At 44.0% G+C, this 27,827-nt stretch overlaps 1 protein-coding gene and 1 long non-coding RNA gene across 13 annotated transcripts, besides 2 other annotated features; one reads left to right on the top strand and one right to left on the bottom strand.

The window, feature by feature from the left end:
• ZNF561 (zinc finger protein 561) lies at nucleotides 1–13,904 on the bottom strand. 12 transcript variants are annotated; one of them, XM_011528434.3, is made up of 7 exons: nucleotides 13,834–13,904; nucleotides 13,588–13,721; nucleotides 12,104–12,254; nucleotides 10,763–10,838; nucleotides 9,717–9,843; nucleotides 6,693–6,775; nucleotides 1–4,008 (listed from the first exon to the last, which is right to left on the bottom strand). In XM_011528434.3, the coding sequence occupies exons 3-7, from the start codon at nucleotides 12,157–12,159 to the stop codon at nucleotides 2,872–2,874; spliced, it is 1,479 nt and encodes a 492-aa protein (XP_011526736.1). In that variant the 5' UTR covers nucleotides 12,160–12,254; nucleotides 13,588–13,721; nucleotides 13,834–13,904; the 3' UTR covers nucleotides 1–2,871. The 12 variants fall into 12 exon arrangements, with proteins under 12 accessions (XP_011526736.1, XP_005260207.1, XP_006723001.1 ...); XM_005260150.3 differs by having other exon boundaries at nucleotides 10,763–10,851; XM_006722938.4 differs by lacking the exon at nucleotides 13,588–13,721.
• Nucleotides 13,083–13,665: an enhancer, noted in NCBI's record as "H3K27ac-H3K4me1 hESC enhancer chr19:9731087-9731669 (GRCh37/hg19 assembly coordinates)". NCBI's record gives its function as "activates a minimal SCP1, AML or CMV promoter by ChIP-STARR-seq in naive H9 embryonic stem cells {active_cell/tissue: H9 hESC(naive)}" and the evidence as "EXISTENCE:reporter gene assay evidence [ECO:0000049][PMID:30033119]".
• Nucleotides 13,814–14,233: an enhancer, noted in NCBI's record as "active region_13932". NCBI's record gives its function as "activates an Ori minimal core promoter by ATAC-STARR-seq in GM12878 lymphoblastoid cells {active_cell/tissue: GM12878}" and the evidence as "EXISTENCE:reporter gene assay evidence [ECO:0000049][PMID:35858748]".
• ZNF561-AS1 (ZNF561 antisense RNA 1) lies at nucleotides 14,154–27,534 on the top strand. Its single transcript, NR_122038.1, has 4 exons — nucleotides 14,154–14,317; nucleotides 19,456–19,532; nucleotides 24,900–25,089; nucleotides 26,132–27,534. It is a non-coding gene; the product is annotated as a ZNF561 antisense RNA 1 (long non-coding RNA).
• Nucleotides 27,535–27,827: the final 293 nt, after the last annotated feature.

Genomic DNA, 27,827 nt, shown 5'->3' on the forward strand with positions numbered 1-27,827 from the left:
TTTCATTGAAGTATTTATTACATACCATCATTGGCCAGGAACAGTTCTAGGTACTTGAGTTCTAGCAGTAAATAAACATGATCATCACAGAGGATGCACAGGAAGCATTTAATAAATTCAAGAGGAATTCAGCCTCATGAATTATGAAATACTGGGAAATCATTCATCATGTAAAAACTGGATATAAAAAGAAACCTTTCCTGTAAGAGATTAGCCTCTTCAAAAAATAAAATAAAAACCTACAGCCAAGCCAATAAAATAGAGCACGTATCTCAGCAGAACTGCAGACAATTATGCTGGTATTACTGCTATTCATTGGTGGTGTGCTGGAGGTTGAAATTAGTCCAGTAAAGCAAGAAAATATATATATAGGTATAACCTAACGACTAAAGTGGAAAAGTAAGAGTCATTATTTACAGATTATGTGATTGTCTATGTGGAAACGGAAAAGAATCATATTAAGTACTTTGGACTGAATGATAACCCTGAAAATTCATATGTTGAAGCTCCAAATCCCAATGTGACTGTATGTGAAAATAGGGTTTTTTAGTTTTGTTTTTGAGACAGAGTCTCGCTCTGTTGTCCAGGCTGGAATGCAGTGGCTGCGATCTCGGCTCACTGCAACCTGTGCCTCCCAGGTTCATGCCATTCTCCTGCCTCAGCCTCCCGAGTAGCTGGGACTGCAGGTACCCGCCACCACGCCAGGCTAATTTTTTGTATTTGTAGTAGAGACAGGGTTTCACCGTGTTAACTAGGACAGTCTCGATCTCCTGACCTCGTGATCCGCCCACCTCGGCCTCCCAAAGTGCTGGGATTACAGGTGTGAGCCACCGCGCCCGGCCTGAAAATAGGCTCTTTAGAAGTATCGTGAAATGATGTCAAGAGATGGGTAGGGGGAGGGAGGGGGAGGGAGGGGAAGGAGAGAGATGGTGGGGAGAGAGAGAGAAAGAGGAGAGAGGAGAGAGGAGAAAGGAGAGAGGAGAGAGAGACCTATTTGTTGGTTTCCTTCCTGTGAAGACATGAGGAAGTGGGCATTTACATACCAGGAAGAGAGCTCTCGCCAGAAGTTGACCATGCTGGCACTCTGATCTCAGACTTCCAGCCTCGAGAAATGTGAGAATATAAATTTGTTTTTAACCTCATTTATTTAAAATTAACAAATTTGTAAGCCATTTGGTCTGTGGTATTTTGTGATAGTGGCCTGAGCTCATTAAGGCAGATTAAAAACAAACAAACAAAAAAACTAAAAATGTGAAGCAGATTTGAAACTGACAAATGAGGCTGGAAAAATTCTGATGTGCAAGCTGGAAGTAAGGTTGGTAAGGGTGATCCTGGTGAGGTGTCATTGGGGAATGAGGAACATGCTATTGGGAAATAAAGAAAATACAACCCTTGATACGAAGTAGTGAAGAACTTGGCAGAACTGTATTCTAGCACTTTGCGGAAGGTAGAGCTTGAGAGAGATAAAACTGGTTATGTATCACTAAGATCTGTACTTAAAGTGTTAAAGGACACAGGAAGCTTCATTCTTCCTGAGTGCTTACAGGAAAATGTGCTCAGAACAGGCCCCCCAAATTTGGACATAAACAGGCCATGAGAAACTGCCCATAAACAAAATCTCTGCGGCACTGTGACATGCTCGTGATGGCTATGACACCCATGCTGGAGGTTGCTGGTTTACCCGAATGAGGGCAAGGAACACCTGGCCCACCCACGGTGGAAAACTGGAAAACTGCTCAGGCATTCCTAAACCACAAACAATACCATGAGTGATTTGTGCCTTAAGGACATGTTCCTGTTGCAGATAACAAGCCAGAGCCTGTCCCTTTCTTTCTTGTAAGGAATACTTTTAGCTAATCTATAATCTATAGAAATAATGTTTATCACAGGCTTACTGTCAATAAATATGTGGGTCAAACTCTGTTCAAGGCTCTCAGCTCTGAAGGCTGTGAGCCCCGATTCCCACTCTGCACTCTATTTCTGTGTCTTTGTCTTAATTCCTCTAGAGCTGCTGGGTCAGGGTCTCCATGACCCAGCTGGTCTCAGCAAAAATGCAAAAGGAGACCTGAATTGCAGAAAAAATTGTTAAGGAAAAAGGAACCAGAACTTGGAGATTTGGAAAATTCTCAGCCTATCCATAATGCAAAAATTAGAAAACTTGTACTGAAGAGAATCCTCAAAGTGTGGCTGAACGATCATCTGATAAAGAGATCATGAGTGGGATTCATGGACTATATCAGCCACCTTGACAGAAGTGAGAAGAGAGACTGGATTATACTAGAAGAGACATTGCCACTTACATTGTGCCATCTAAAATAGACATACAAGGCAGAACAGGCAAGGCTGTCACACTTCTTAGATTTTACAAGGGGACACAGAAATAATCAGCTGTGAAAGGGCACTGGCAGTTATGGATGGTTTCATTCCTGACACGCTCTGCAGGATCCGTGGGATCAGAAGAGACCCTTGGAGGAGCATCTCTTAACAACCCACCTTTGGGGTCCTACATCATCTTGGCTTCTGGTAAATTTTGACATAAATGTGCCACACTGGCAGCCACTAACCAACAGGGGCTGGGGTCAATCTGCATGATTTATCTCATACACAACTTGTTAATGCTATGATCTTAGGAATCTAATCACCAAGGTGAGGCAGCCTGCAGTACTGACCTCACCATCCATGACCCTTCTTCACAGATGCCCAGACTCAGGCAACCATGATGTTGTATTCAGAACCTGTAGGTTTAATTTCAGACCCTCAGGATGGTATCTAAGGCCAATCCATGAGTCATTACAACCTCCAAAAGGCATTTAGGACAAATCTGATAATCTTTGGTGTCATTGCCAATAATTAAAGATGGCAACCGATGGGCTAAATGGTAACACTCATATCCTTGCATTCATAGGGTTTCTCCCCAGTGTGAATTCTTTCATGTCTACTTAGGCGTGAGGAAACAGCAAATGCTTTCCCACATTCTTTACATACGAAGGGTTTCTCTCCGGTATGAGTTCGCAGGTGAACATTAAGGCGTGAGGAATATAGAAATGCTTTCCCACATATCTTGCATACAAAGGGCTTTTCTCCACTATGAGTTTTCAAATGTTTACTACGACGGGAAGAAGTAATGAAGGTCTTCCCACATTCAACACATTCATAAGGCTTCTCTCCTGTGTGAATTCTTGTATGCTGAATAAGACTTGTGGATGTAGTGAAGGCTTTCCCACATTCCTTACACTGATAGGGTTTCTTTCCACTGTGACTTCGTATGTGTATAGAAAGGCCCGAGTACTGAGCAAAGGCTTGGCCACATTCCTTACATTCATAGGGTTTTATTCCAGTGTGAGTTCTTACATGTTCAGTAAGTTGAGTTGATCTAGTGAAGGCTTTCCCACAGTAAGTACACTTGTGTGGTTTTATTCCAGTGTGAATTTGAATGTGATCATTAAGGCATGAGGAATTTCTAAAGGATCTTCCACATTCTTTACATTCAAAGGACTTCTCTCCTTTATGAGTTTTCACAGGTGCATAAAGTTGAGAAAAATTAGTGAAGGATTTCCCACATTTCTTAGTCTTTTTGGATTTCTTTCCTGTATGAACTGCTACACACTGCTTTAGGTGTGAAGAAGCTGTGACAGCTCTCCCATATTCCTGAAATTCACAGAGTTTCTCATCAGTGTGGATTCCCATATGATTATCAAGGCTTGCAAAATACTTAAAGCCTTTTCCACATTCCTTACATTTGTAGGGTTGTCTTGCATTGAGAACTTCAAGATGTACAGCAAGACCTGGAGTTAGAGTAAAGACTTTTCCACATGGATTAAATTTGGAAAGTTCCTGTCCAGTAGAGGCTTCCTTGTGCACACTGAGGGTGTCTTTTCCATAACAATTACCCTCAGAAGTATTCCCTCCATTCTGAACTCTCATGTGTGTCTTAAGGCAAAACTGTTCCCTGAAGACCTCTCCACAATTCTTACAGTCACAGAGTTTCCATCCACTGTAGCCTCTTGTCTGTTGATGACGAGATAAAGGTTTTAAAACATTTTCAGACATATTAAGAGATTTCACCCATCTGAACACAGAAGCATTTTGATGACAATTATGATTTTACTTTTTAATATTTAATTTTTTTTTCTTTTTGAGAGAAAGTCTTGTTCTATCTCCCTGTCTGGAGTGCATGGCACACTCTCAGCTAACGGCAACCTCCACCTCCCAGGCTCAACTGATTCTCCTGCCTCAGCCTCCCGAGTAGCTAGGAATACAGGTGTGCACCACTGCACCTGGCTAATTTTTCTGTTTTGTAGAAACAAGGTTTTGCCAAGTTACCCAGGCTGGTCTCAAACTCCTAAGCTCAGGTGATCTGCCTGCCTCGGCCTCCCAAAGTGGTGATATTACAGGCATGACCCACCACACCCAGTATGTTTCACTTTTTTCAGAGTTGGGGTTTTGCTCCATTGCCTGGACTATAGTGCACTGGTGTGATCATGGCTCTCTGTAACCTCAAACTCCTGGCTGAGTTCAAGTGATCATCCTGCCTTAGCTTCCTGTGTAGCTAGAACTATTTGAATGCACCCTCATGTCTGGCCAATCTTTCAGTTTGTTTGTTTATTTATTTATTTAGAGACAGAGTCTTGCTCTGTAGCCCAGGCTGGAGTGCAATGGCATGATTTCGGCTCGTTGCAAACTCTGCCTCCCAGGTTCAAGTGATTCTCCTGCCTCAGCCTCCTGAGTAGCTGGGATTACAGGCATGGGTCACCATGCCTGGCTAATTTTTGTAGTTTTAGTAGAGACAGGGTTTCACCATGTTGGCCAGGCTGGTTTTGAACCCCTGACCTCAGATGATCTGCCTGCCTTGGCCTCCCAAAGTGCTGAGATTACAGGGGTGAGCCACCATGCCCCACCTCAGTTTATTTATTTTTGAGATGTAGTCTCACTTTGGCTGGAGTGCAAGTGGCGAGATCTTGGCTCACTGCAACCTCCACCTCCTAGGCTCAAGTGATTCTCATGCATCAGCCTCGCGAATAGCTGGGATTACAGGCAGGTGTAGCCACATCCAGCTAATTTTGTTATTTTTTGTAGAGATGGGGTTTCCCCATGTTCGCCAGGCTGGTCTTGAACTGCTGACCTCATGATCTGCCTGCCTCAACCTCCCAAATTGCTGGGATTACAGGCGTGAGCCACCACACCCAGCCTCAATTTATTTTTATAGAGACAAAGTCTTACTATGTAGCCTAGGCTGATCTCAAACTCTTCACAAAACCCCACTGCCTCAGCCTCCCAAAGTGCTGGGATTACAGCCATGAGCTACCATGTCAGCCTACTTTGATAATTATAATTTTTACAATTTTTCTTCCTTGTTTTTATTCCCTGACTTCTTGATTTCTTCCAGATTGAATGATGGGCCCTTTTGCCAGAATTCTACGCCACTGGCTCTAATTGTTCAAAAAAAGAAAACTGTAGGGTTTTTTTATTATTATGCAGGGTGGTTTGAGACAAGGTCTCACTCTGTCACCCAGGCTGGGTACCATGGCATAATCACAGCTCACTGTGGCCTTAATCTCCCAGGCTGAAGCCATCATCCTGCCTCAGTCCCCCAAGGAGCTTGGATTACAGGTGCATGCCAACACGCCCTGCTAATTTTTTATTCCTTGTAGAGACAGGGTCTCTGTTGACCAGGCTGGTCTTGAACTCCTAGGCTCAAGTGATTCTCCTGCCTCAGCTTCCCAAAGTGCTGGGATTACAGGTGTCAGCCATTGCACCCAGTCAAATAGTGTAGATTTTCATGAAACTGTGTAAATCCTCAATGTCTAGTTACTTATGTGGGAATGTGTACTTGTGGGTATTTTGAGGTGACAAGTTATACAGATATGGAATATCATAAAATTCATCACATTCAGACTATCTCTCCAGAGATCCTGCTCCCTCAGTGGTGCAGAATTCTTCTCTAATTCTCTCAAGTATCTCTCATTTGTGCAGTTTCTTTTTCACTGCAAACTCCACCTCCTGGGTTTAAGCAATTCTGCCTCAGCCTCCCATGTATCTGGGATTACAGGTGCCTGCCACCACACCTGGCTAACTTTGTATTTTTAGTAGAGATAAGAGTTTCATTACATTGGCCAGGCTGGTCTCGAAGTGCTAATCTCAAGTGATCCACGTGCCTAGGCCTCCCAAAGGGATGGGATTACAGACTCAGTTTCTTTTCTTTATTTCTGAGACAGAGTCTCACTCGGTCAACCAGGCTGGAATGCAGTGGTGCAATCTCAGCTCATTGCAACCTCTGCCTCTGTGTTCATGCCATTCTCCTGTCTCAGCCTCCCAAGTAACTGGTATGACAGGTGCCCACCACCACACTCGGCTAATTTTGTATTCTTAGTAGAGATGGAGTTTCACCATGTCGGCCAGCCTGGTCTCAAACTCCTGACCTCAAGTGATCCACCCATCTCGGCCTCCCAAAATGTTGGGATTACAGGTGTGAGTCACCACATTCACCTTCTTTTTAAAATCAGAGATGGGATCTTACTATACTGCCTAGGCTGGTCTTGAACTCTTGGGCTCAAATGAGACCCCCACTTCAGCCTCCCAAATAGCTGGGATTACAGATGTAAGCCACACCTCTGACTGAGCTGATTTTCTAGAATGGAATTCTCTATCTTTTCTAAGAGAGGAAATTAAGAAATATCCCTCATGAATCTTACCATTTGTATCCCACTGAATATTTGATTCTTCAAAAAACCCTGCTGAAGTGATGACCGTTTGGTTCTAGGTTGTATTTCCCATTCTAAAGTTAAGCAGAAAAAGAAACGTAAGGATTTAGAGAAGAAATATTCATTTAAAATGAGTCATTTTTACTTGTTTTCAAATTAAACACAGCAATAAAATAAAAGCCAGAGAACCTTGAGGATTTTGGTACATCAAAAATTTGGCTATAATGATGTGGGGTTTATTACATAACTGATGTGTTTAGATAGTTTATTACAAACTACTTCTGTAAAAATTAAAAATGCCGGGAGTGGTGGCTCACACCTGTAATCCCAGCACTTTGGGAGGCTGAGGCGGGTGGATCACTTGAGGTCAGGAGTTCGAGACCAGCCTGACCAACATGGAGAAACCCCATCTCTACTAAAAATACAAAATTAGCCAGGCATGGTGGCGCATGCCTATAATCCCAGCTACTTGTGAGGCTGAGGCAGTATTGCTTGAACCTGGGAGGCAGAAGTTGCAGTGAGCTGAGATCATGCCATTGCACTCCAGCCTGGGTGACAGAGCAAGACTTCAGAAAAGAAAAGAAAATTAAAGCTGATGGAAAACAGAAAGAGTAGATTTTCGGGAAAGGAAAGTAGGAAAGATCTAGATAAACAGCATGTATCAGAATGATAAAGTTAACAAAGAAACAGAACAGGTAGTTTTATTAGATCATAGGAATGTTTGACAAGATGGAAAATAAGAGTCAAAGATATCCAAAACTCTGAGAAAAATAGCTTAAATCTTCTGAGGCAAAGTGCATCTTTAAAAATCTTTTTTTTTTTTTTTTGAGATGAAGTGTCACTCTGTCACCCACACTGGAGCGCAGTGGCACAATGTTGGCTCAATGCAACCTCTGCCTTCTGTGTTGAAGTGATTCTCCTGCCTCAGCCTCTTGACTAGCTGGGACTAAAGGCGTGTGCCACCACGTCTGGCTAATTTTTTGTATTTTTAGTAGAGATGGGGTTTCACAGTGTAGGACACACTGGTCTCAAACTCCTGGCCTCAGACAATCCACCCACCTCAGCCTCCCAAAGTGCTGGGATTACAGGCATGAGCCACCACACCTGGCCAGGAGATATATTTCTAATACAAGCAATGTAATTATTACAAAAGGGATATAAAAGCTAAGATCTCCATTTCTGTGCCCAAAAAAGATTGGTTATCTCTGACCCATTAAACCCAAATTCAGACTTATGTACACACCTGTAAAGCACTAAAACTTTTATTTCAGTAAGAAATAAAGTAGGCTGGGTGTGGTGGCTCATGCCTGTAATCCTAACACTTTGGGAGGTCGAGGTGGGTGGATCATTTGAGGTCAGGAGTTTAAGACCAGCCTGGCCAACATAGTGAAACTCCTTCTCTACTAAAAATACAAAAATTAGCTAGGCACAGTGACACTTGGCTGTAATCCCAGCTACTCAGGAGGCTGAGGCAGGAGAATCACCTGAACCTGGGAGGGCAGAGGTTGTAGTAAACAGAGATTGCACCACCGCACTCCAGCCTGGGCGACAGAGCAAGACCCTGTCACAAAAATAATAAATAAATAAAGTAAGTAGGCTGGGTGCAGTGGCTTACACCATAATCCCAGCACTCTGGGAGGCCGAGGTGGGTGGATCACCCGAGGTCAGGAGTTCAAGACCGGGCTGGCCAACATGGCGAAACCCCATCTCTACTAAAAATACAAAAAAAAAAAAAAAAAAATTTAACTGGGCATGGTAGCAGGTGTGCCTAATACCAGCAACTTGGGAAGCTGAAGTTGCAGTGAGCTGAGGTGGCACCATTACACTCTAGCCTGGGTGATGGAGTGAGACTCTGTCTCAAAAAAAAAAAGCAGAAATAAAGTTAAGTACTACAAAAAGATGCTTGCTGTCATGGGTAAACAACTCTGCCACTGGATCTCAAACATGATAGTATATTAGATTCACCTTCAGTGATTCTGAAAACACAGATGACTGGGCTCCAACCCTGGAGTTTCCAATTTACTACATCAAAGAATAGGGGAAGGAAGATGTATATTTCTTACAGCACAAAGCTGATGCTGTTGATGAAGTTTCCAGGATTACCACAGTAAATTAAAACATACTACAGCAGGGACTGTTACTTTGGGACTGTCTCTGTTATTCCCCACTGTTTTCAGAATTGACAAGCAAGCATGTAACATACATCTGCCCTATAACAGGCTACAAGAAATGATGCTAGTGTTTATTTTTATTTTTAATGTATTTTTTTTTAGACGAAGTATCACTGTGTCGCCCCGGCAGGAGTGCAGTGGCGCAATCTCAGCTCACTGCAACTTCTGCCTCCTTGTTCAAGCAATTCTCCTGTCTCAGCCTCCCAAGTAGCTGGGATTACAGGTGCCTGCCAACAAGTCTGGCTAATTTTTGTATTTTTAGTAGAGATGGGGATTCACTATTTTGGCCAGGCTGGTCTCAAATTCCTGACCGCATGTGATCTGCCCGCCTCGGCCTCCCAAAGTGCTGGGATTATAGATGTAAGCCACCACAACCGGCCTAGTCTTCATTTTTAGGATTTTTTTTTTTGAGATGGAGTCTCAATCTGTCACCCAGGCTGGAGTGCAGTGGTGTGATCTTGGCTCACTGCAAGATCCGCCTCCCGGGTTCATGCAATTCTCCTGCCTCAGCCTCCCGAATAGCTGGGACTACAGGTACCTGCCACTATGCCCACCTAATTTTTTTGAATTTTTTTAGTAGAGACGGGGTTTCACAGTGTTAGGCAGGATGGTCTCCATCTCTGGACCTTGTGATCCGTCCACCTCAGCCTCCCAAAGTGCTGGGATTACAGGCATGAGCCACTGCGCCCGGCCTAGAATTTTTTTTTTAAGAGACAAGGTATCACAATGTTGCCCATGCTAGTATCAAACTCCCAGGCTCCAGCGATTCTCCCACCTCAGCCTCCCAAGTATCTGGGACTACAGGTGCAGGCCACCATGCCAAGCATAGTGATGTTACTCTTACCCACAGAGGCCAGGTTCATGTAGTTCTCCAGCATCACATCTCTGTAGAGGTATTTCTCAGTTGTGTCCAGTAAAGCCCACTCCTCTGGGGTGAAGTCCACAGCCACATCATCAAACGTCACTGAATCCTATGTCATCATACACATGCTGGTTTGAGCCAATGAACACTTCCACCAATATTCACTGGAGAATGATGAAGGGGAACCTTATACTCACTTACACGTGGTTGTCAGGTCTCCCATGATCTACTCCAGGGTTTAATGTCTCAGGAGCTCTTGTGTCTAAACACTCAAGGTTGACCTCCTACAGGCATATGCCTTAAACAGCACTTTTTAAAATTTTTTTAAATCTTTTTTTGCTGATCTATTTTTAATTTTTTAATATTTGTATTTTTAAATTTTAAATTTTATTTTTATTTTGATTAGAACAGTACTTCCTAAAGATGAATTTTCCTCTATCTATCATCTATCTAATCTGTTTATTTATTTATATATAAAAACAGGGTCCAACTGTGTCACCCAGGCACAACTGCTGATTACTACAGCTTCGATCTCCTGGGCTGAAGTGGTCCTCTCACCTCTGTCTCCTGAGTAGCTGGAATTACAGGCATGAGCCACTGCACACTGCTTACGCTTGATCTCAGCACAACCAGGCTAGGAGCTCTTCCTGTCCCATTGGTGTCTATGCAGCACACTCCTCAGCACACTGCAGATACCTGATAAATGCTGATAAGTGAATGATTTGATAAAAGGACACTTTCATCTGCTTTATCATCCGTCACCGCACCCAGCAATGTAAGAAAGATGCAGTTGGCACCATGAAGGTCAAGCTTAAGTAGTAATTACTGAGCTACTGGACTGATTTTCAAGTTAACATTTTATGTATAGGAGACTTCATTCCCTGGGGAAATTCATCTGGGGACTCAGTCCTTGAGTAAGGCTTCATTTGCTCTAAGAAAACTCTGAAGATGAGTCTGTCTAGAAAGAAATCTGTCTACCTATTGGATGAAAGCATATCATTTTTAACAACAGTACGTTTTCTGCTTACCTGATAACCACTTGCCAGGTAGTCCTCCACCATCCTTTCTACCTTTGTCTTTTCTTCAAAAGGGCAGATTGGTTCCCTGGAAAAAAACCCTAGTGGAAAAGTAAGAAGGCATGAGAAGCCAGAGCTGCCCATCCTTCCCACATTCTCATGCCTAGAAGTCATTCCATCCTAGCTTGAAATTCCGATATGCTCCTACACACTCGAGAAAACTACACACACAACACTTCCATGAAATGCCATAGTAAGTCCTGTGTCAGCTAGACACAAAAGCAGACTTGGGCCAAACTGCCTGTTGGGTAAAGGGTAATAGTTTCATTTTTCAAGGAAACTTACACCCTGAAAAATGTGACTCTCGTCCAGGTGCGGTGCCTCATGCCTGTAATCCCAGCACTTTGGGAGGCCGAGGCGGGTGGATCATGAGGTCAGGAGAACGAGACCATCCTAGCTAACACGGTGAAACCCCATCTCTACTAAAAATACAAAAAATTAGCCAGATGTGGTGGTGGGCATCTATAGTCCCAGCTACTCAGGAGGCTGAGGCAGGAGAATGGTGTGAACCCAGGAGGCGGAGCTTGCAGTGAGCCGAGATCGTGCCACTGCACTCTAGCCTGGGTGACAGAGCAAGACTCCGTCTCAAAAAAAAAAAAAGTGACTCTCTATCTGCCCATAGTAGTAACACTCATGAAGCTTATGTAGCATTTCCTAAGGTACACAAACCAGGGCTGAATTCTAAAACAGCATTCTGGCTGGGCACAGTGGCTCATGCCTGTAATCCCAATACTTTGGGAGGCCAAGGCGGGCAAATCACTTGAGGTCAGGAATTTGAGACCAGCCTGGCCAACATTATGAAACCCCATCTCTACTAAAAATAGAAAAATTATGGGAGGCTGAGGCAGAGAATTACTTGAACCCAGGAGACAGAAGTTGCAGTGAGTCGAGACCACAGGCACTGCACTCCAGCCTGGGAGACAGAGTGAGATTCTGTCTCAAAAACAAAAACAAACAAACAAACAAAAATTAGCCAGGTCTGGCAGTATGTGCTTGTGGTCCCAGATACTTGGGAGGCTGAGGCAAGAGAATCACTTGAACCTGGGAGGTGAAGGTTGCAGTGAGCTAAGATTGCACCACTGCACTCCAGCCTGGGTGACGGAACAAGATTCTGTCTCAAAAATAAATAAATAAATAAATAAATAATAAAACAGCATTCTGTTCTGTGGTTCACTTCAATTCCTCCTAAAAGAACCAGCTGCATGCCTGCTCAGGCTCAGCTCACTGGACGCTTGTGTTGTGGAGGGTGACCTAAAGCAGAATCTCTGAAAAAGAGCATCAACAAAGACTTACCACGGGACAAATAAATGGCTGCCATTCTCTGAAGCTGATGGTGTGATGATGTGCATCCCTTCCTTGATGCCAAGATCACCTCAGGCCAGCTTATGAATCTAGGTGGATAGAGGCAATCTCCATTCCTCTTTGTACAGGGTTATTTGCGGTCCTGTTCATATCAATCATCAAACAACAAGCATGAAACATCAGTCATCAAACATTATGCCTGAGCTTTGTCTCTGCAGGTGACAGATGTGAAGGCCACCAAAAATTGCCCACTCAGTACCGTCACTCAGTAACAAAAGTATTAATAACAGTAACTGACATTTACTGAGGACTGATATGTCAGAAGTAGCTCTAGTAGCTTTATATATACATGCTCAGTTAATTATCATAGCCATCCTTCCCAGTAGCTATCATTACCTCTATCTATCTATATCTATCTATATTTATCTATCTATATCTATCTATCTATATATCTATCTATATCTATCTATCTATATCTATCCTATCTATCTATCTATCTATCTATCGAGACAGGGTCTCACTCTGTTGCCCAGGTTGAAATCCAATGGCACTAACACAACTCTCTGTAGCCTAGACTTCCCGGGCTCAAGTGATCCTCCCACTTCAGCCTCCTGAATAGCTGGGACCATAGGTGCGTATCATCACTCATTATTATTATTATTATTTTGAGACAGAGTCTCACTCTGTTGCCCAGGCTGGAATGCAGTGGCATGATCTCAACTCATTGCAACCTCTGCCTCCCAGGTGCAAGCGATTATCAGGCCTCAGCCTCCCGAGTAGCTGGGATTTCAGGTATGCACTACCATGCCTGGCTAATTTTTGCATTTTTAGTAGAGACGCAGTTTCGCCATATTGGCCAGGCTGGTCTTGAACTCCTGGCCTTAAGTGATTCTCCCACTTCAGCCCCCCAACTAGCTGGGACTACAGGTGCACACCACTGGGTCCGGCTAATTTTTTGTAGTTTTAGTAGAGACAAGTTTTCACCAGATTGCCTAGGCTAGTCTCAAACTCCTGGGCTCAAACAATCCTCCTGACTTGGCCTCCCAAAGTGCTGGGATAATAAGCATAAGCCACGATGCCTGGCCCATTACTTCTATTTAATACTGAAAAAAACCTACACTCAAACAACCCTAGTAGTCGGTCTGATACTTGTCCCTAGAGCCTGATCTCCTGTATATGGTGTTACCCCCCCGCCATATGACCAGAAGACAGTGCAGACCTGCACAGAACAATTCAGTAGTCACCAGCCACGTGTGTTATTGATAACTTCATTACGTACCTAAGATGACTTAAGAACAAAATCTAAAATTTTCAAAAGTCGGCCGGGTGCAGTGGCTCACACCTATAATCCCAGCACTTTGGGGGACCGAGGCAGACAGATCACCTAAGGTCAGGAGTTCAAGACCAGCCTGGCCAACATGGCAAAACCATCTCTACTAAAGATAGAAAAAGTAGCCGGGCGTGGTGGCACTTGCCTGTAATCCCAGGTACTCGGAAGGCTGAGGCAGGAGAACTGCTTGACCCTGGAGGCAGAGGTTGCAGAGGTTGCAGTGAGCCGAGAGAGCGCGCAGCCTCTCCGAACTGGACGCACAGGGAGGACTGATAGTCCCTGGAGAAGCGAGTGAAGTGAAGCGGATCTGAGAGGCTCCTAGGCGACAGCGCGCAATCATTCCTTTGCCGCCCCCTGCTATCCCCGGGACCGCCAAGGAGGTGGAACTCACCACAGCCTGGGCAGACTCCACCACCATAAAGGCGAAACCGCACTGACGGAGAGGAGCCAGCGCCGGAAAAGATGGCGGTGGTGCGCTGACGTCACTTCCGCTTCAACACTCTGGCCGGGCGAGGCTCGTGGGCTCCAGTTTCAGCCACGTAGGACCGGGTAGAACACAGAAATTCTAGTTTCCTCTCGGGTGGGTGCAGAAAGGGCCTGGGGTTGGCTCAGGGAGGGGGATGCAGAACTAGGTCCAGAGAAAAAGGTGAGGTTAGAACCGGGCCTCCAGACGGAACTGTGGGCGAGGGGAGGGGCTCGTACTCGGGGGGTGATTTAGAGGAGGGACCCGGCCTAGCCGGTGGTTCAGGTGGCCGGTCGGGCTGGAAGGGCGGGGATGAGGGATGGGACGCATCCCCGGGGGATGCTCCTCCAAAGCTTTTATCGGGCGAGCGCAGTGGCTCACGCCTGTAATTCCTGCACTTTGGGAGGCTAAGGTAGGTAAATAGCTTGAGTCTGCTGGGAATGGGTGCTCGCTTGGTGTCACAAAATCAACACTGAGACAAAGGATCTCAGCAAGGCTAGTTTTACTTTCTGCAGAATGGGTGCCACTGGCTGGCAGTCTTGCCACCAGAGCACACATTAACAAAGGAGACAGGGTTTTTTTAAACTTGAAGTGTCCATCCTTCTGCTGTGTCCAGCTTCCATTGGCTGGAACGGGACCTCACCTTCCTGTACTTCACTGGATTGGCTAGCAACTTAGAACTTCCCAAAAGAGGCAATGGCAGAGGAGAACAAAGGAAGAGAGGAAGTAACTTGTGGACTGTTGAGAGAGGCAAAAACACTTCTAAATAGGGAAAGGAATAGGCCATGACCTAATAGTTGCTTGGACCAGTTCAGGCATGCCAGGGCAAATATCTAGGCTAAAATGTGGGAGCTAAAAACAGAGTCTATTGATTTCTTTATTACGGCTGGCAGAATTTAACAATATTACCACAGGTCTTTGAGAAAATTTGGCTTCTAAGAGGGATTACTATTTATTTCAATCAGACTGGGAGGAAAGTCCCTTTGAAGAGGAACCTGTATTTATTTCATTTTCTACAAGTCCAAGAGTTTGAGACCAGCCTGGGCAAAGTAGCAAGACCCTGTCTCTCTCTCTCTCTCTCTCTCTATATATATATATATAAACATATATGTATAAATACATATAAATATATAAATATATAAAAAATATATAAATATACATGTTCAAAATGCTTGTTCCCTGGTGCCATAAAGAAATTAGCACTTGAACATAAATTTAATTTACTCAGCAAGGCCATTTTTACTTCCTGCAGAAACGGTATACTCACCAGCAGTTTTGCCACGAGAGTACACCAAACAAAGGAGATAGGGTCATTTATAACCTGATGCTTCCAACCTACTGCTGTGTCCAGTTTCCACTGGCTGGAATGGGACCTCACGTTCTGGCTAGCAACTTATAACTTTTTAAAAGAGGCAAGGGTAGAGGAGAACAAAGGAAGGAGGAAGTAACTTGTGGAATGCTGAGAAGGGTCAAAACATCTTCAAATAAGGAAAAAGAACAGGCTATGCCCTAATGCTTGCCTGGACCAGTACAAGCATGCCAGGGCAAATATGTAGACTAAACTGTGGGAGCTAAGAATATAAAGTACATTGATTTCTTTATCACGGCTCACAGATACTTGAGAATGTTAGCACAGGTCTTTGAATAAATTTTGCTTCTAAGAGAAGTTACTATTTATTCCTAATTAAATGTGAAGGAACGTCTTTGAAGAGGAACCTCTGCTTTACTTTTTAGATATAAATATAAAGCTTGTTTGTATGCCTCTCCTCATGTTCCTAGAGCCTTTCCATGATTCTTCCATATTGATAAAGCTGCCAATGAATGGCATGGTCTATCCCTTCCATTCAGTCAGAGTTTCTGTAGGCCTTTTTTTCTTCATTCTTTATTTTTTAGAACCTGCTGATTCCATTGGGTTTTCTTTTTCTTTCTTGCTTGCTTGCTTGCTTGCGACAGATCTCACTGGATCAGACCAGGCTGGAGTGCAGTGGTGTGATCTCAGCTCACCGCAACCTCCACCTCCCAGGTTCAAGCAATTCTCCTGCCTCAGCCTCTGGAGTAGCTGGGATTACAGGCGCCTGCCACCACGCCCAGCTAATTTTTGTATTTTTAGTAGAGAACGATTTCACCAGGTTGGCCAGGCTGATCTCGAACTCCTGGCCTAAAATATCTGCCAGGCCAAGATGGTAGGATCGTTTAAGGCCAGGAGTTTAAGACAAGCCTGGGCTACACAGCAAAACCCCATCTCTCTATATATATATAAAAAAAATTTAAATTAAAAAATGTTTTGTTTTGTTTTGTTTTTTTGAGACATAGTTTCGCTCTGCCACCCAGACTGGAGTGCAGTGGTGCGATCTTCACTCACTGCAAACTCTGCCTCCTGGGTTCAAGCCATTCTTCTGCCTCAGCCTCCTGAGTAGTTGGGACTACAGGCATGTGCCACTGCGCCCAACTAATTTTTGCATTTTTAATACAGACATGGTTTCATCATATTGACCCAGCTGGTCTCAAAGTCCTGACCTCGTGATCCATCCACCTGGTCCTCCCAAAGAGCTGGGATTACAGGCATGAGCCACTGCCCCAGCCAAAAATATGTATTTCTGTTGTTATTTTTCTGATCTTACCACATGGGCCAGGAACACATTTCCTACGTTGTAAAATAGCACTGATACCAGACATTCTCCCCAAGATTATTCAGAAATGTAACATACTCCCAATAAAAATACCAAAAGTTTTTTTCTGGAGTTAAGTACATTGATACTGAAGTTTATGTGGAGGAACAAACATCTGATAATAACCAAGAAAACAAAAACAAAAGCAATGATGAGCAGCAGATATTAAAACATACTATTGACAGTTTTCATGCAAGGCAAAGAATTACATTATTTTAAAATAAAAATAAAGTCCGGGCACAGTGGCTCACGCCTGTAATCCCAGCAATTTGGGAGGCCGAGGCAGGCAAATTACCTGAAGTCGGGGGTTTGATACCAGCCTGGCTAACATGGTGAAACCCTGTCTCTACTAGAAGTACAAAAATTAGCAAGCGTGGTGGCACATGCTTGTAATCCCAGCTACTTGGGAGGCTGAGGCAGGAGAGTTGCTTGAGCCTGGGAGATGAAGGTTGCAGTGAGCCGAGATTGTGCCACTGAATTGCAGCCTGGCTGACAGAGTGAGACTCTGTCTAAAAAATTAATTAATTAATTAATTTAAAAAACATACTATAAAGCCTCTATAATTAAAACTATGTGGTACTAGCACGTGAAACAGAAACTAATAAAATATCAAAAAATAGACCCATGAACATGTAGAAATTTGGTTCATAAATGTATTTTGCCAGATGCGGTGGCTCATGCCTGTATCCTAGCAATTTGGGAGACTGAGGCAGGAGGATCACTTGAGGTCAGGAGTTCAAAACCAGCCTGCCCAACATGGTGAAACCCCATCTCTATTAAAAATACAAAAACATAGCCGGGTTCGGTGGCTCATGCCTGTAATCCCAGAACTTTGGGAAGCCGAGGCAGCCGGATCATGAGGTCAGGAGTTCGAGACTAGTCTGACCAACATGGTGAAATCCCATCTCTACTAAAAATACAAAAATTAGCTGGGTGTGGTGATGCATGCCTGTAATCTCAGCTACTCAGGAGGCTGAGGCAGGAGAATTGCTTGAACCCAGAAGGCGGAGGTTGCAGTAAGCTGAGATCGCACCACTGCACTCCAGCCTGGGCAACAGAGTGAGACTCTGTCTCAAAAAAGAAAAAAAATTTAGCCAAGCATGGCCGAGCATGCTGGCTCATGCCTGTAATCCCAGCACTTTGGGAGGCTGAGGCAGGCAGATCACGACGTCACGAGATCGAGACCATCCTGGCCAACTTGGTGAAACCCCGTCTCTACTAAAAATAGAAAAATTAGCTGGCATGGTGGCGGGTGCCTGTAATCCCAGCTACTCAGGAGGCCGAAGTAGGAGAATCGCTTGAACCCAGGAGGCGGAGGTTGCAGTGAGCCAAGATCGCTCCCCTGCACTCCAGCCTGGCGATAGAGCGAGACTCCGTCTAAAAAAAAAAAAAAAAAAATTAGCCAAGCGTTGTGGTGGGCGCCTGTAAGCCCAGCTACTCGGGTGGCTGAGGCAAGAGAATTGCTCAAACCTGGGAGGCAGAGGTTGCAGTGAGCCGAGATCACGCCATTTCACTCCAGCCTGGCGACACAGCGAGACTCTGTCTCAAAAAAAAAAAAAAAAAAAAAAAAAAAAGCCGGGTGCATTGGCTGATGCCTATAATTCCAGCACTTTTGGAGGCAGAGGCGGGTGGATCACCTGAGGTCACGAGTTAGAGACCATCCTGACCAACATGAAGAAACCCCGTCTCTGCTAAAAATACAAAATTAGCTGGGCATGGTGGCACATGCTTATAATCCCAGGTACTCAGGAAGCTGAGGCAGGAGAACCGCTTGAACCCAGGAGGCGGAGGTTGGGGTGAGTGGAGATCGTGCCATTGCATTCCAGCCAGGGCAACAAGAGAGAAACACCGTCTAAAAAAAAAAAGTGGCATTTCAGATAAATGGGGCAAAAAATGCCATTTGTAACAAATGGAAGGTCTAAGATAGCTGGTTAGCCATCTGAGAAAAGATGAAATTAAATCCATACTTCACAGCATATACAAGAATAAACTCCAAGTGGACTAGGGATCTAAGTGTAAAAAATAAAACCACACACGTATTTAGGGTGTTTAAGTGATTTCTTGGCTGAGTAAGGAAAAAGATGTTACCACAAGGCGGCAGTAGCACACAAGCTTCATTTGGGATGTGCTTTGACAGGTTAGCAGTGGGGGAGGTAGCAAACAGCAAGAGAATATCCACAGGCTTCTACCTGTGGGTCGCTGCTCAGAAAGGGTGGAAAGGAAGAAAGACTCTCAGAGGAGAAGGGGAATCAAAGAGGGGGCTTATAAATAACTAAATGATGATATTCACCAGACTGGCAGCATATCTTCCAGTTAAAAAGCTCTGAAGGATAAGTCTGGCCAATATGGTGAAACTCCGTCTCTACTAAAAATACAAAAATTAGCAGGTATGGTGCCAGGTGCCTATAATCCCAGCTACTTGGGAGGCTGAGGCAGGAGAATCGCTTGAACCCAGGAGATGGAGGCTGCAGTGAGCTGAGATTGTGCCCCTGTACTCCAGCCTGGGTGGCAGAGCAAGACCCTGCATCAGAAAAAAAAAAAAAAAAAAGCTCTGAAGGACCGCAGGGGTATGGGGTTTTCATAGCCCTGGAGTTATCTTATCTATGGCTGTCAGATATTGGATATAATTTCAGAGAATACAAAGCAGGCGCACTCGAAATGGCTAAAAATAGGCTTGTTCAGGCTATGTTTCAAACAATCCAGTGTGTTAAAATTGCAGTTTGGCAGGGGTAGGCTATTGTGAATACTAGTGAGACAAACATTGGTGTACAAATATCTCTGAGTCCCTGCTCTGAACAGTTTTGGATATGCCAAAGTGGAATATCTGGATCACATGGTAATTCTGTTTAATCGTTCTTTTTTTTTCTTTTTTTTGAGACAGGGTCTCACTCTATTGTCTAGGCTCGAATGCAGTGACGTGATCATGGATCACTGCAGTCCTCAACTTACTGGGCTCAGGTAATCCTCCCACCTCAACCTCCCAGGTAGCAGAGATTACAGGTGCATGCCACCACCATCCTTGGCTGAATTAAAAAAAATTTTTTTGTAAAGACCATATTTCACCATATGCCCAGGCTGGTCCTGAAGTCCTAATCTCAAGGAATCCCCTGGCCTCAGCCTCCCGAAGTGCTGGGATTACAGGTGTGAGCCATCACATCCAGCATGGTTTTGATTTTCATTTTCATGATGTTTAGTGATGTTGAGCATCGTTTCATGAGCATCTTTTCGTGTGTTTATTGGCCATCTGTATATCTTCTTTGGTGATATTATTCAAGTCCTTTTTCTGTATTGAAATGAGTTTTGTTGTTGTTACTCTTGGGTTCTAGAAATTTTAAAAATAAACTCTGGATATTTGTCCCCAGTCAGATACAGGACTTGCAAATATTTTCTCCCATTTGTAGATTGTCTTTTTACTCTCTTGTTATTATGCTTTGATGCACAAAATTTGTATCATTGATTAGGTTCAACTCATAATTTTTCTTGTGTTGCCTGTGTGGTTGATGTCATAACTGAGAAGTCATTTCCAGTTGAAGCTTTCTCACCTATGTTTTCTTCTAATAGTTTTCCAGCTCTAGCTCTTACACTACACTAAGGTTTTTGATCCATTTTTAAAAAATCATGCCACATTATTATTATTATTATTATTAAGATGGAGTCTTGCTCTGTCACCCAGGCTGGAGTGCAGTGGCACAATCTCAGCTCACTGCAAACTCTGCCTCCCAGGTTCAAGTGATTCTCCTGCCTCAGCCTCCTGGGTAGCTGGGATTACAGGCGCCTGCCACCATGGCCAGCTAATTTTTGTATTTTTAGTAGAGATGGGGTTTCACCATATTGGCTATGCTGGTCTCGAACTCCTGACCTTGTGATCCACCTGCCTTGGCCTCCCAAAGTGCTGGGATTACAGGTATGAGCCACCACGCCCATCCTTCATCCATTTTAAGTAAATTTTTATATATGGTATAAGGTTAGGGTCCAACTCCATTCTTATGTATGTCTATATCTCAGTTCCTCCCCCATATAATCCTGTCCCCAGGGAATCAACAACCCATGCTCTTCCTAGTCACCTCCTTGAACATGTCCCTCCCCCAGGAAACCTCCAACATGAGATAGAACAATGTAGAAAGGACATTCAAAACTTCCCTTTCCCTTGTTTGTCAAAGGAATCCGCCCCAACGGTTGTCCCCTTAAGGGAAGTCCCACTGGGGGGAGGGGGCATTGGTTGCATTAATGCCCTCTTAACCAGCTCAGAAGTCAGAAACTTCAAAAGGGAACTCAAACCATTGTTAGATGACCCTTATTGGGTAGCAGATCAAATTGATCAATTTTTAGGGCCACAGTTGTATACTTGGGCTGAACTAATGTCCATTTTAGATATTCTTTTCTCAGGGGAGGAAAGGACTGTGATCCACAGGGCCACTGTGATAGTCAGGGAACGTGAACATCCTCCTGGCCAAAACGTTCTGCAGCGGACCAAAAATTTCTGTTCCAAGACCCTCAATGGGACAATCACAATGCAGCTCACCAAGAAAATATGAGGGATCTCGGGGAAATGATAATTAAAGGAATTCGGGAACCAGTACCCTGAACTCAAAATATTTCCCGAGCATTCAACATACAACAAAGAAAGGAAGAAGAGCTCATGGAATTTTTAAACAGACTCTAAGAGCAAGTTAGAAAATACGCAGGCTTAGAAATAAGAAGATCCACTTCGGCAAGGATTGTTAAAACTCCACTTTGTCACCAACATTTGGCCAGAAATTACAAAAAAATTGTCAAAAAAATAGAGAATTGGAAAGATAGCTCCATAGAAGAACTTCTAAAGGAGGCCCAAAAGGTATATATGAGAAAAGACAAGGAAAGCAGAAACAAAAAGCAAAAATTCCACTGCCCACCCTTCAACAAGGGACACAAGGAAATAGGTCCCATAAATGTTCTAAGCCACTAGCTGCAAAGTCACATACAGGAAAGAAAAGGGATAAAACCTGGGGACCTAACGGCAAGAAGGGAAAAGGGGGAAAATAAATGTTTCAGATGTGGGAAACTGGGACACTTTAAGACAGAATGTCCCGAATGAGAAAGAGAGAGAAATCCTCCCACTCATGACTTTTGAAGAAGAATAGGGGGTTCAGAGGCTCTGTCTCTTTTATCTCAAATCCCACCAATAGCCCTTGATAAATCTACAGGTGGGACCCAAGCTAGAAATTTTCACTTTCCTAATAGATTCAGGAGTAGCTCGCTCCTCTGTTTGCTACCTTTCATCAAATGTAGCCTGCTCTGCAGAGGAGCTGTTCGTCACGGTGGTAAAGGGGGAAAGGTTTAGAACAAAAATTTTGGAGGAAACAGAAGTTAAATTCAAGAATAGATCAGCCGCCATTAAATTCATGTTAATCCCTGATGCAGGGACAAATTCGTTAGGAAGGGACTTAATGTTTAAATTGGGGATAGGTCTATATGTTAATCAGGGAAAATTATTTACTTCCTTAAACTTGCTTACCGCCCCTAAAGAAAGCCAAATCCACCCTGATGTGTGGTTAAAGGAGGGAAATCAAGGAAGATTCAAGTTCCGCCAATTCATATAAAACGAAAACCTCCTGGGGAAATAGTAAAAAGAAAACAACACCCCATTCCCCTAGAAGGCAGAATGGGTTTAAAACCTATAATCAAAGGTCTCATCCATGACAGACTCCTTGAACCCTGTATGCCTCCTTATAACACTCTAATGTTGCCTGTAAAAAAGTCACATGGATCACGGCTAGTGCAAGATATCTGGGCTATTAACCAAATAGTCCAGACTACTCACCCTGTGGTCCCCAACCCTTATACCATTATCAGCAAAATCCCATATGACCACCAATGGTTCATGGTAATAGACCTAAAAGATGCCTTTTGGGCTTGCCCCTTAGCAGAGGACAGCCAGGACATGTTTGCTTTCAAATGGGAGGACCCTCACTCCAGTTGGAAGCAACAGTACTGATGGACAGTCCTGCCCCAAGAGTTTGTGGACTCCCCAAATCTATTTGGTCAAATTCTAGAACAAGTCCTAGAGAATTTTCCCCTCCCCTCATCCATATATCCGCTCCAATATGTGGATGACCTGCTAATTTCAGGAGGCACCAAGGGCTGGGTAACAGCAGTATCAATTAACTTTCTAAATTTTCTGAGGGAACGCGGATTGCTGGTCTCAAGGAGTAAACTCGTTTGTGGAACCTGAGATAAAATACCTAGGATACTTAATAAGCAAAGGCAAACAGAGATTAGGCCCCAAACGAACTGAAGGAATCATAGCCGTACCTTTGCCTGAAACAAAATAAGGGCTTAGGAAATTCTGGGGGTTGACTGGATATTGTCGCTTATGGATTGACTTTATGCTTTAAAAACAAAGCCTCTATGCCTGAAACTTACTCAAGAGAGACCTGATCCTCTTCTTTGGACACCACGGGAGGTCCAACAAGTAGAGGAATTAAAACACCTGCTCATAACTGCCTTAGTTCTACCTTCCCTAGAACAGCCATTCCACCTCTTCGTCAATGTGAATAAAGGGATAGCTCTAGGGGTGCTCACCCAAACACACGGGGGCCACCGGCAGCCTATAGCCTTTCTGTCAAAAATTCTTGACCCACTAACCCACAGGTGGCCCGAGTGTATTTAATCTGTTGCAGCAACTGCCCTATTTACAGAGGAAAGCAGGAAGATAACCTTTGGGGGAAACCTCACTGTAAACACAACCCATCAGGTTAGAACCATCCTAAACCAAAAAGCAGGCAGATGGCTTACCGATTCAAGAATCTTAAAATATGAAGCTATCTTACTAGAAAAAGATGATTTAACCCTAACCACAGAAAAAACACTCAACCCTGCCGCTTTCCTAATGGGAAATCCAATCCCCAGGACCCTGAACATAAATGTCTGGATCTAATCTGTTATCAAACTAAAGTCAGGCTTGATCTAAGCGAGACCCCATTCAAAACGGGGCAACACCTGTTTATAGATGGCTCCTCCCAGGTATTTGAAGAGAAAAGACACAATGGGTACTCGGTAGTCAATGGGGAAGCCCTCACAGAGGTAAAGTCAGGAAGACTGCCCAATAACTGGTCCACCCAAACATGTGAATTGTTCACATTAAATCAAGCCATAACTGGGAAAGGGACTATTTACACTGACTCCAAATATGCCTTCGGGGTAGTCCATACTTTTGGAAAGATCTGGACTGAATAAAAGGCCAGGACCTTGTCCACAAGGAGTTAATCACTCAGGTATTGGAAAATCTCCAGCTACCAGAAGAGATAGCCATCCTGCGTGTCCCAGGACACCAGAGAAATATTTCTTTCAAAAGCCAAGGAAATAAACTTGCAGACCAAATAGCCAAACAAGCTGCCTCTTCTCCCAAAATGCCCATTTTTCACCTAACCCCTTGTCTTTCTTCCCCAACTGCAATTCACATCTTCTCTCCCACTGAAAAAGAGAAATTAAGGAAAATAGGAGCTAAAGAAAACTCAGAAGGGAAATGGATGTTACCAGACCAAAGAGAAATGCTATCAAAACCCCTAATGAGGGAAGTCCTATCTCAACTGCATCAAGGGACTCATTGGGGACCTCAAGCTGTGTGCGATGCAGTTCTCAGAGTTTATGGGTGTATAGGAGTTTATACCCTAGCAAAATAAGTTACAGATAGTTGCCTAATATGTAAGAAAACTAATTTAAAAAAACCCTAAGGAAACCACCTTTTGGGGGAAAAAGCCCAGGATTGAGACCATTCCAAAGTGTCCAAATTGACTACACCAAAATGCCCCCAATAGGCCACCTAAAGTACTTGCTAGTAATAGTGGACCACCTTACTCACTGGGTGGAGGCTATTCCCTTTTCAAGTGCAACTGCTAATAATGTGATTAAGGCATTAGTAGAAAATATTATACCCAGGTTTGGACTGATAGAAAACATTGATTCAGACAATGGGACCCACTTCACTGCACATGTCATTAAGGGACTAGCCTAAGTACTAGGAATAAAATGGGAATATCATACTCCTTGCACCCACCCTCATAAGGAAAAGTAGAAAGGATGAACCAGACTCTAAAAAGCCACCTAACCAAATCAATTTTAGAAACTCAGTTACTATGGACTAAGTGCCTTCTCACTGCCTTATTAAGTGTCTGAACTGCCCCTCAGAGAGATGTTGGCCTATCTCCCTATGAAATCCTATATGGGTTGCCTTATCTACACTCTACTACTGACATTCACTGAAACAAAGTTTGTTTCATTTGAAACAAAGGATCAGTTCCTCAAAAATTATATACTCGATCTGTCTTCCACTTTCTCTTCCCTCAGGATGAAAGGCTTCCTAGCACAAACACCACCCCTGGAGTTCCCGGTACATCAATACCAGCCTGGGGATCACGTTCTCATCAAGAGTTGGAAGAGGGAAAGCTTGAACCAGCTTAGGAGGACCTCATCTGGTACTCTTGATGAATGAAACAGCAATCTGAATGGCTGAAAAAGGATGGACCCAGCACTCCAGGTAAAAAGGACCCCACCCTTACAGAGTCATGGGCTGTCACTCCAAGACCAATGCCTTCCAAGTTAGTATTCAAAAGGGTCTAATCTGTCTTTCCCTTCTTCCCTTAACTACTCAAGGACACTTCATTATCAATGTAACCAGATCACTCTCTCCTCAAACAATCACGTTTGACGCATGTCTTGCCATACACTTTGGGGACCTCCAAAACCAGAAGCAGCTATCCTCCTTGTAGAAATATCTCTGTCCTTCCAGGGTAGATTCTAACCTCTTACATTCACGCAACTCTTGCTTGGTAGAAGCCGAAACCCTTACGTTTTGGGAAAGGTTCTGCTCCACCTGGAACAATGTCCTATGGACTACTAAGCATCAAGGGTGGACCTCCCCAGGAAGCTGCGCCTCTTTAAAACCATATCTTCGTTTCACCAAAGGAAATGCCCCCTCTAATTGCCAACATCATCAATGCAACCCAGTGCAAATTTCTATCTTACCCCTACCTCCATCGATCTTGAGCCCACTTTAGGTCTTTTCTATGGCATAGGAACCGAAGTGGGCTGAGACAGATCCCATAGGGTCCTTTGAAATGCGCTTTAGCAACCCTTCCCCACCTCCTAGGGGTAACCCCTCTCCAAACCCTCCTCCAAATCAAACAACTATTTTGCCACTACCTAATGACAAAACTAAAGTGGTCATAGTGGAAGTCAAAGACTTAAACCCTAGCCATTGAAACCGGGTATCAGGATGCAAATGCCTAGCTGGAATGGATTAAATATTCCGTTCATACTCTAAACAAAAGTGACTGTTACGCTTGTGCAACAGGTAGGCCAGAAACAAAAATAGTTCCTTTTCTGCTTGGATGGTCTAACCAACCGGGTATGGACTGCATGGTAGCTCTTTCCAGCATCCCACAGCCTGGGGTAATAAGTCATGCGGCACTCTCTTACTGCTTTTCCCAGAAGTGAAAGACCGCCCTGTGTGTCAGCCCCCAAGGGCCATCCAGCTCCCAGCGTCTGATGCCAATTTTTCCTCATGTCTCTCACAACAGGGAGAAAACTTGGCATTCTTTGGGAATCTAACAGGATGCAGTGAACCCAAGCCTTTTGAAGAGCTCACCAATCAGACTGCCCTTGTCTATCCATGAGCAGATGTTTGATAGTATTGCGGAGGCCCTCTAGTGGGTATGCTGCCAAGCAACTGGAGTGGCACTTGGGCTCTAATCCAGTTGTCTATCCCTTTCACCCTGGCATTTCATCAGCCAAACAAAAACCAACTAACTCAGAAAAAAAGGAAAGCCCCTCAAGGGTCCTTTGACCCCGATATCTACATAGATGCTATCGGGGTCCCCTGAGGGGTACCAAACGAATTCAAAGCTCGAAATCAAATAGCTGCTGGATTCAAGTCTGTCCTTTTCTTGTGGTCTACTATAAATAAAAATGTAGACTGGATAAATTACATATACTATAACCAACAACGATTTGTCAGTTACACCAGGGATGCCATTAAAGGAATAGCTGAACAATTGGGTTTCACCAGCCAAATGGCCTGGGAAAATAGAATAGCTCTTGACATGATATTAGTGGAAGTCCAATGTTGTACCTGTATCCCCAATAATACAGCCCCTGATGTAACTATCACTAAGGGTCTATAAGGCCTCACCACTCTAGGAAATGAACTAGCTGAAAATTCGGGAATGAATGATCCCTTTACAGGTGTAATGGAAAAAATGGTTTGGTAGATGGAAAGGACTAATGGCCTCTATTCTCACCTCCCTTGTGATCATAATAGGGGTGCTCATTCTCTTAGGGTGCTGTATTATACCCTGTGTCTGCGGACTAGTTCAAAAGCTCATAGAAACAGCCCTTACCAAGACCTCCCACAACTCTCCCCCACCCTATTCAGATAAACGTTTATTTCTAAGCAACCAAGAAGAGCAGTGAAGCCAGATCCTGTTAGAAATATATGAAGAGGAAGGACTACAAAATCAAAAGGGGAAAATTATTAGACAAAATGAGTTGCTCTACAAAGGTCCAACTTCGTTGTCCTTTGTTCTGTAACCTTTGTTCTGTAAACTGCCCTTCCCGCAGAAACTGTCTTTCCCGCCGACCAAAACTGCCCTTCACTATCACTGTAATCCATACCCCTACTCTATTTGAAACTGCCAATCGGGATCAGCTTACATTGTGTGGTTCAACCACCAGCCAATGAGGAAAAAACACAGAAGCAAAAGCTATGATGCATTAGGGTTAAAAACCCCTTCCTTTCCCTGTCCAATGTGCTCTTGAGACTGCTACAGGCGCAAGCAGCCACCTTCTGCAGAAGTAAACCTTGCCTTGCTGAGAAATTTTTCTTTTGAGTGCTGGTCTCTCTCTGTGGCACCAAGAACTTATTTCTAACATGGAGTGATTTCCAAGATAGATGGTTAAGTGAAAATAAAAACTGTTGCCAGGCACGGTAGCTCATGCCTGTAATCCCAGCACTTTGGGAGTCTGAGGAGGTTGGATTATTTGAGGTCAGGAGTTTGAGACCAGCCTAGCCAACATGGTGAAATCCTGTCTCTTCTAAATATACAAAAAATTAGCCGGGCGTGGTTGTGGGTGCCTGTAATCCCAGCTACTTGGGAAGCTGAGGCAGAAGAATTGCTTAAACCCAGGAAGCAGAGGTTGCAGTGAGCCGAGATCACAGCACTGCACTCCAGCCTGGGTGATAGAGTGAGACTCGGTCTCAAAAACAATAATAATAAT

This window comes from Homo sapiens, chromosome 19, assembly GCF_000001405.40.
Source record: "Homo sapiens chromosome 19, GRCh38.p14 Primary Assembly".
NCBI classification, from domain to species: domain Eukaryota; kingdom Metazoa; phylum Chordata; class Mammalia; order Primates; family Hominidae; genus Homo; species Homo sapiens.

Coding starts and splice junctions, on each gene's coding strand:
- ZNF561 (XM_006722938.4), bottom strand. CDS start 12,159: ATGCACATCATCACACCATCAGCTTCAGAGAATGGCAGCCATTTATTT. Junction 6,776..9,716: donor CATGAACCTGGCCTCTGTGG/GTAAGAGTAACA, acceptor GCTTAACTTTAG/AATGGGAAATACAACCTAGA. Junction 4,009..6,692: donor TATTCAGTGGGATACAAATG/GTAAGATTCATG, acceptor CGTCATCAACAG/ACAAGAGGCTACAGTGGATG.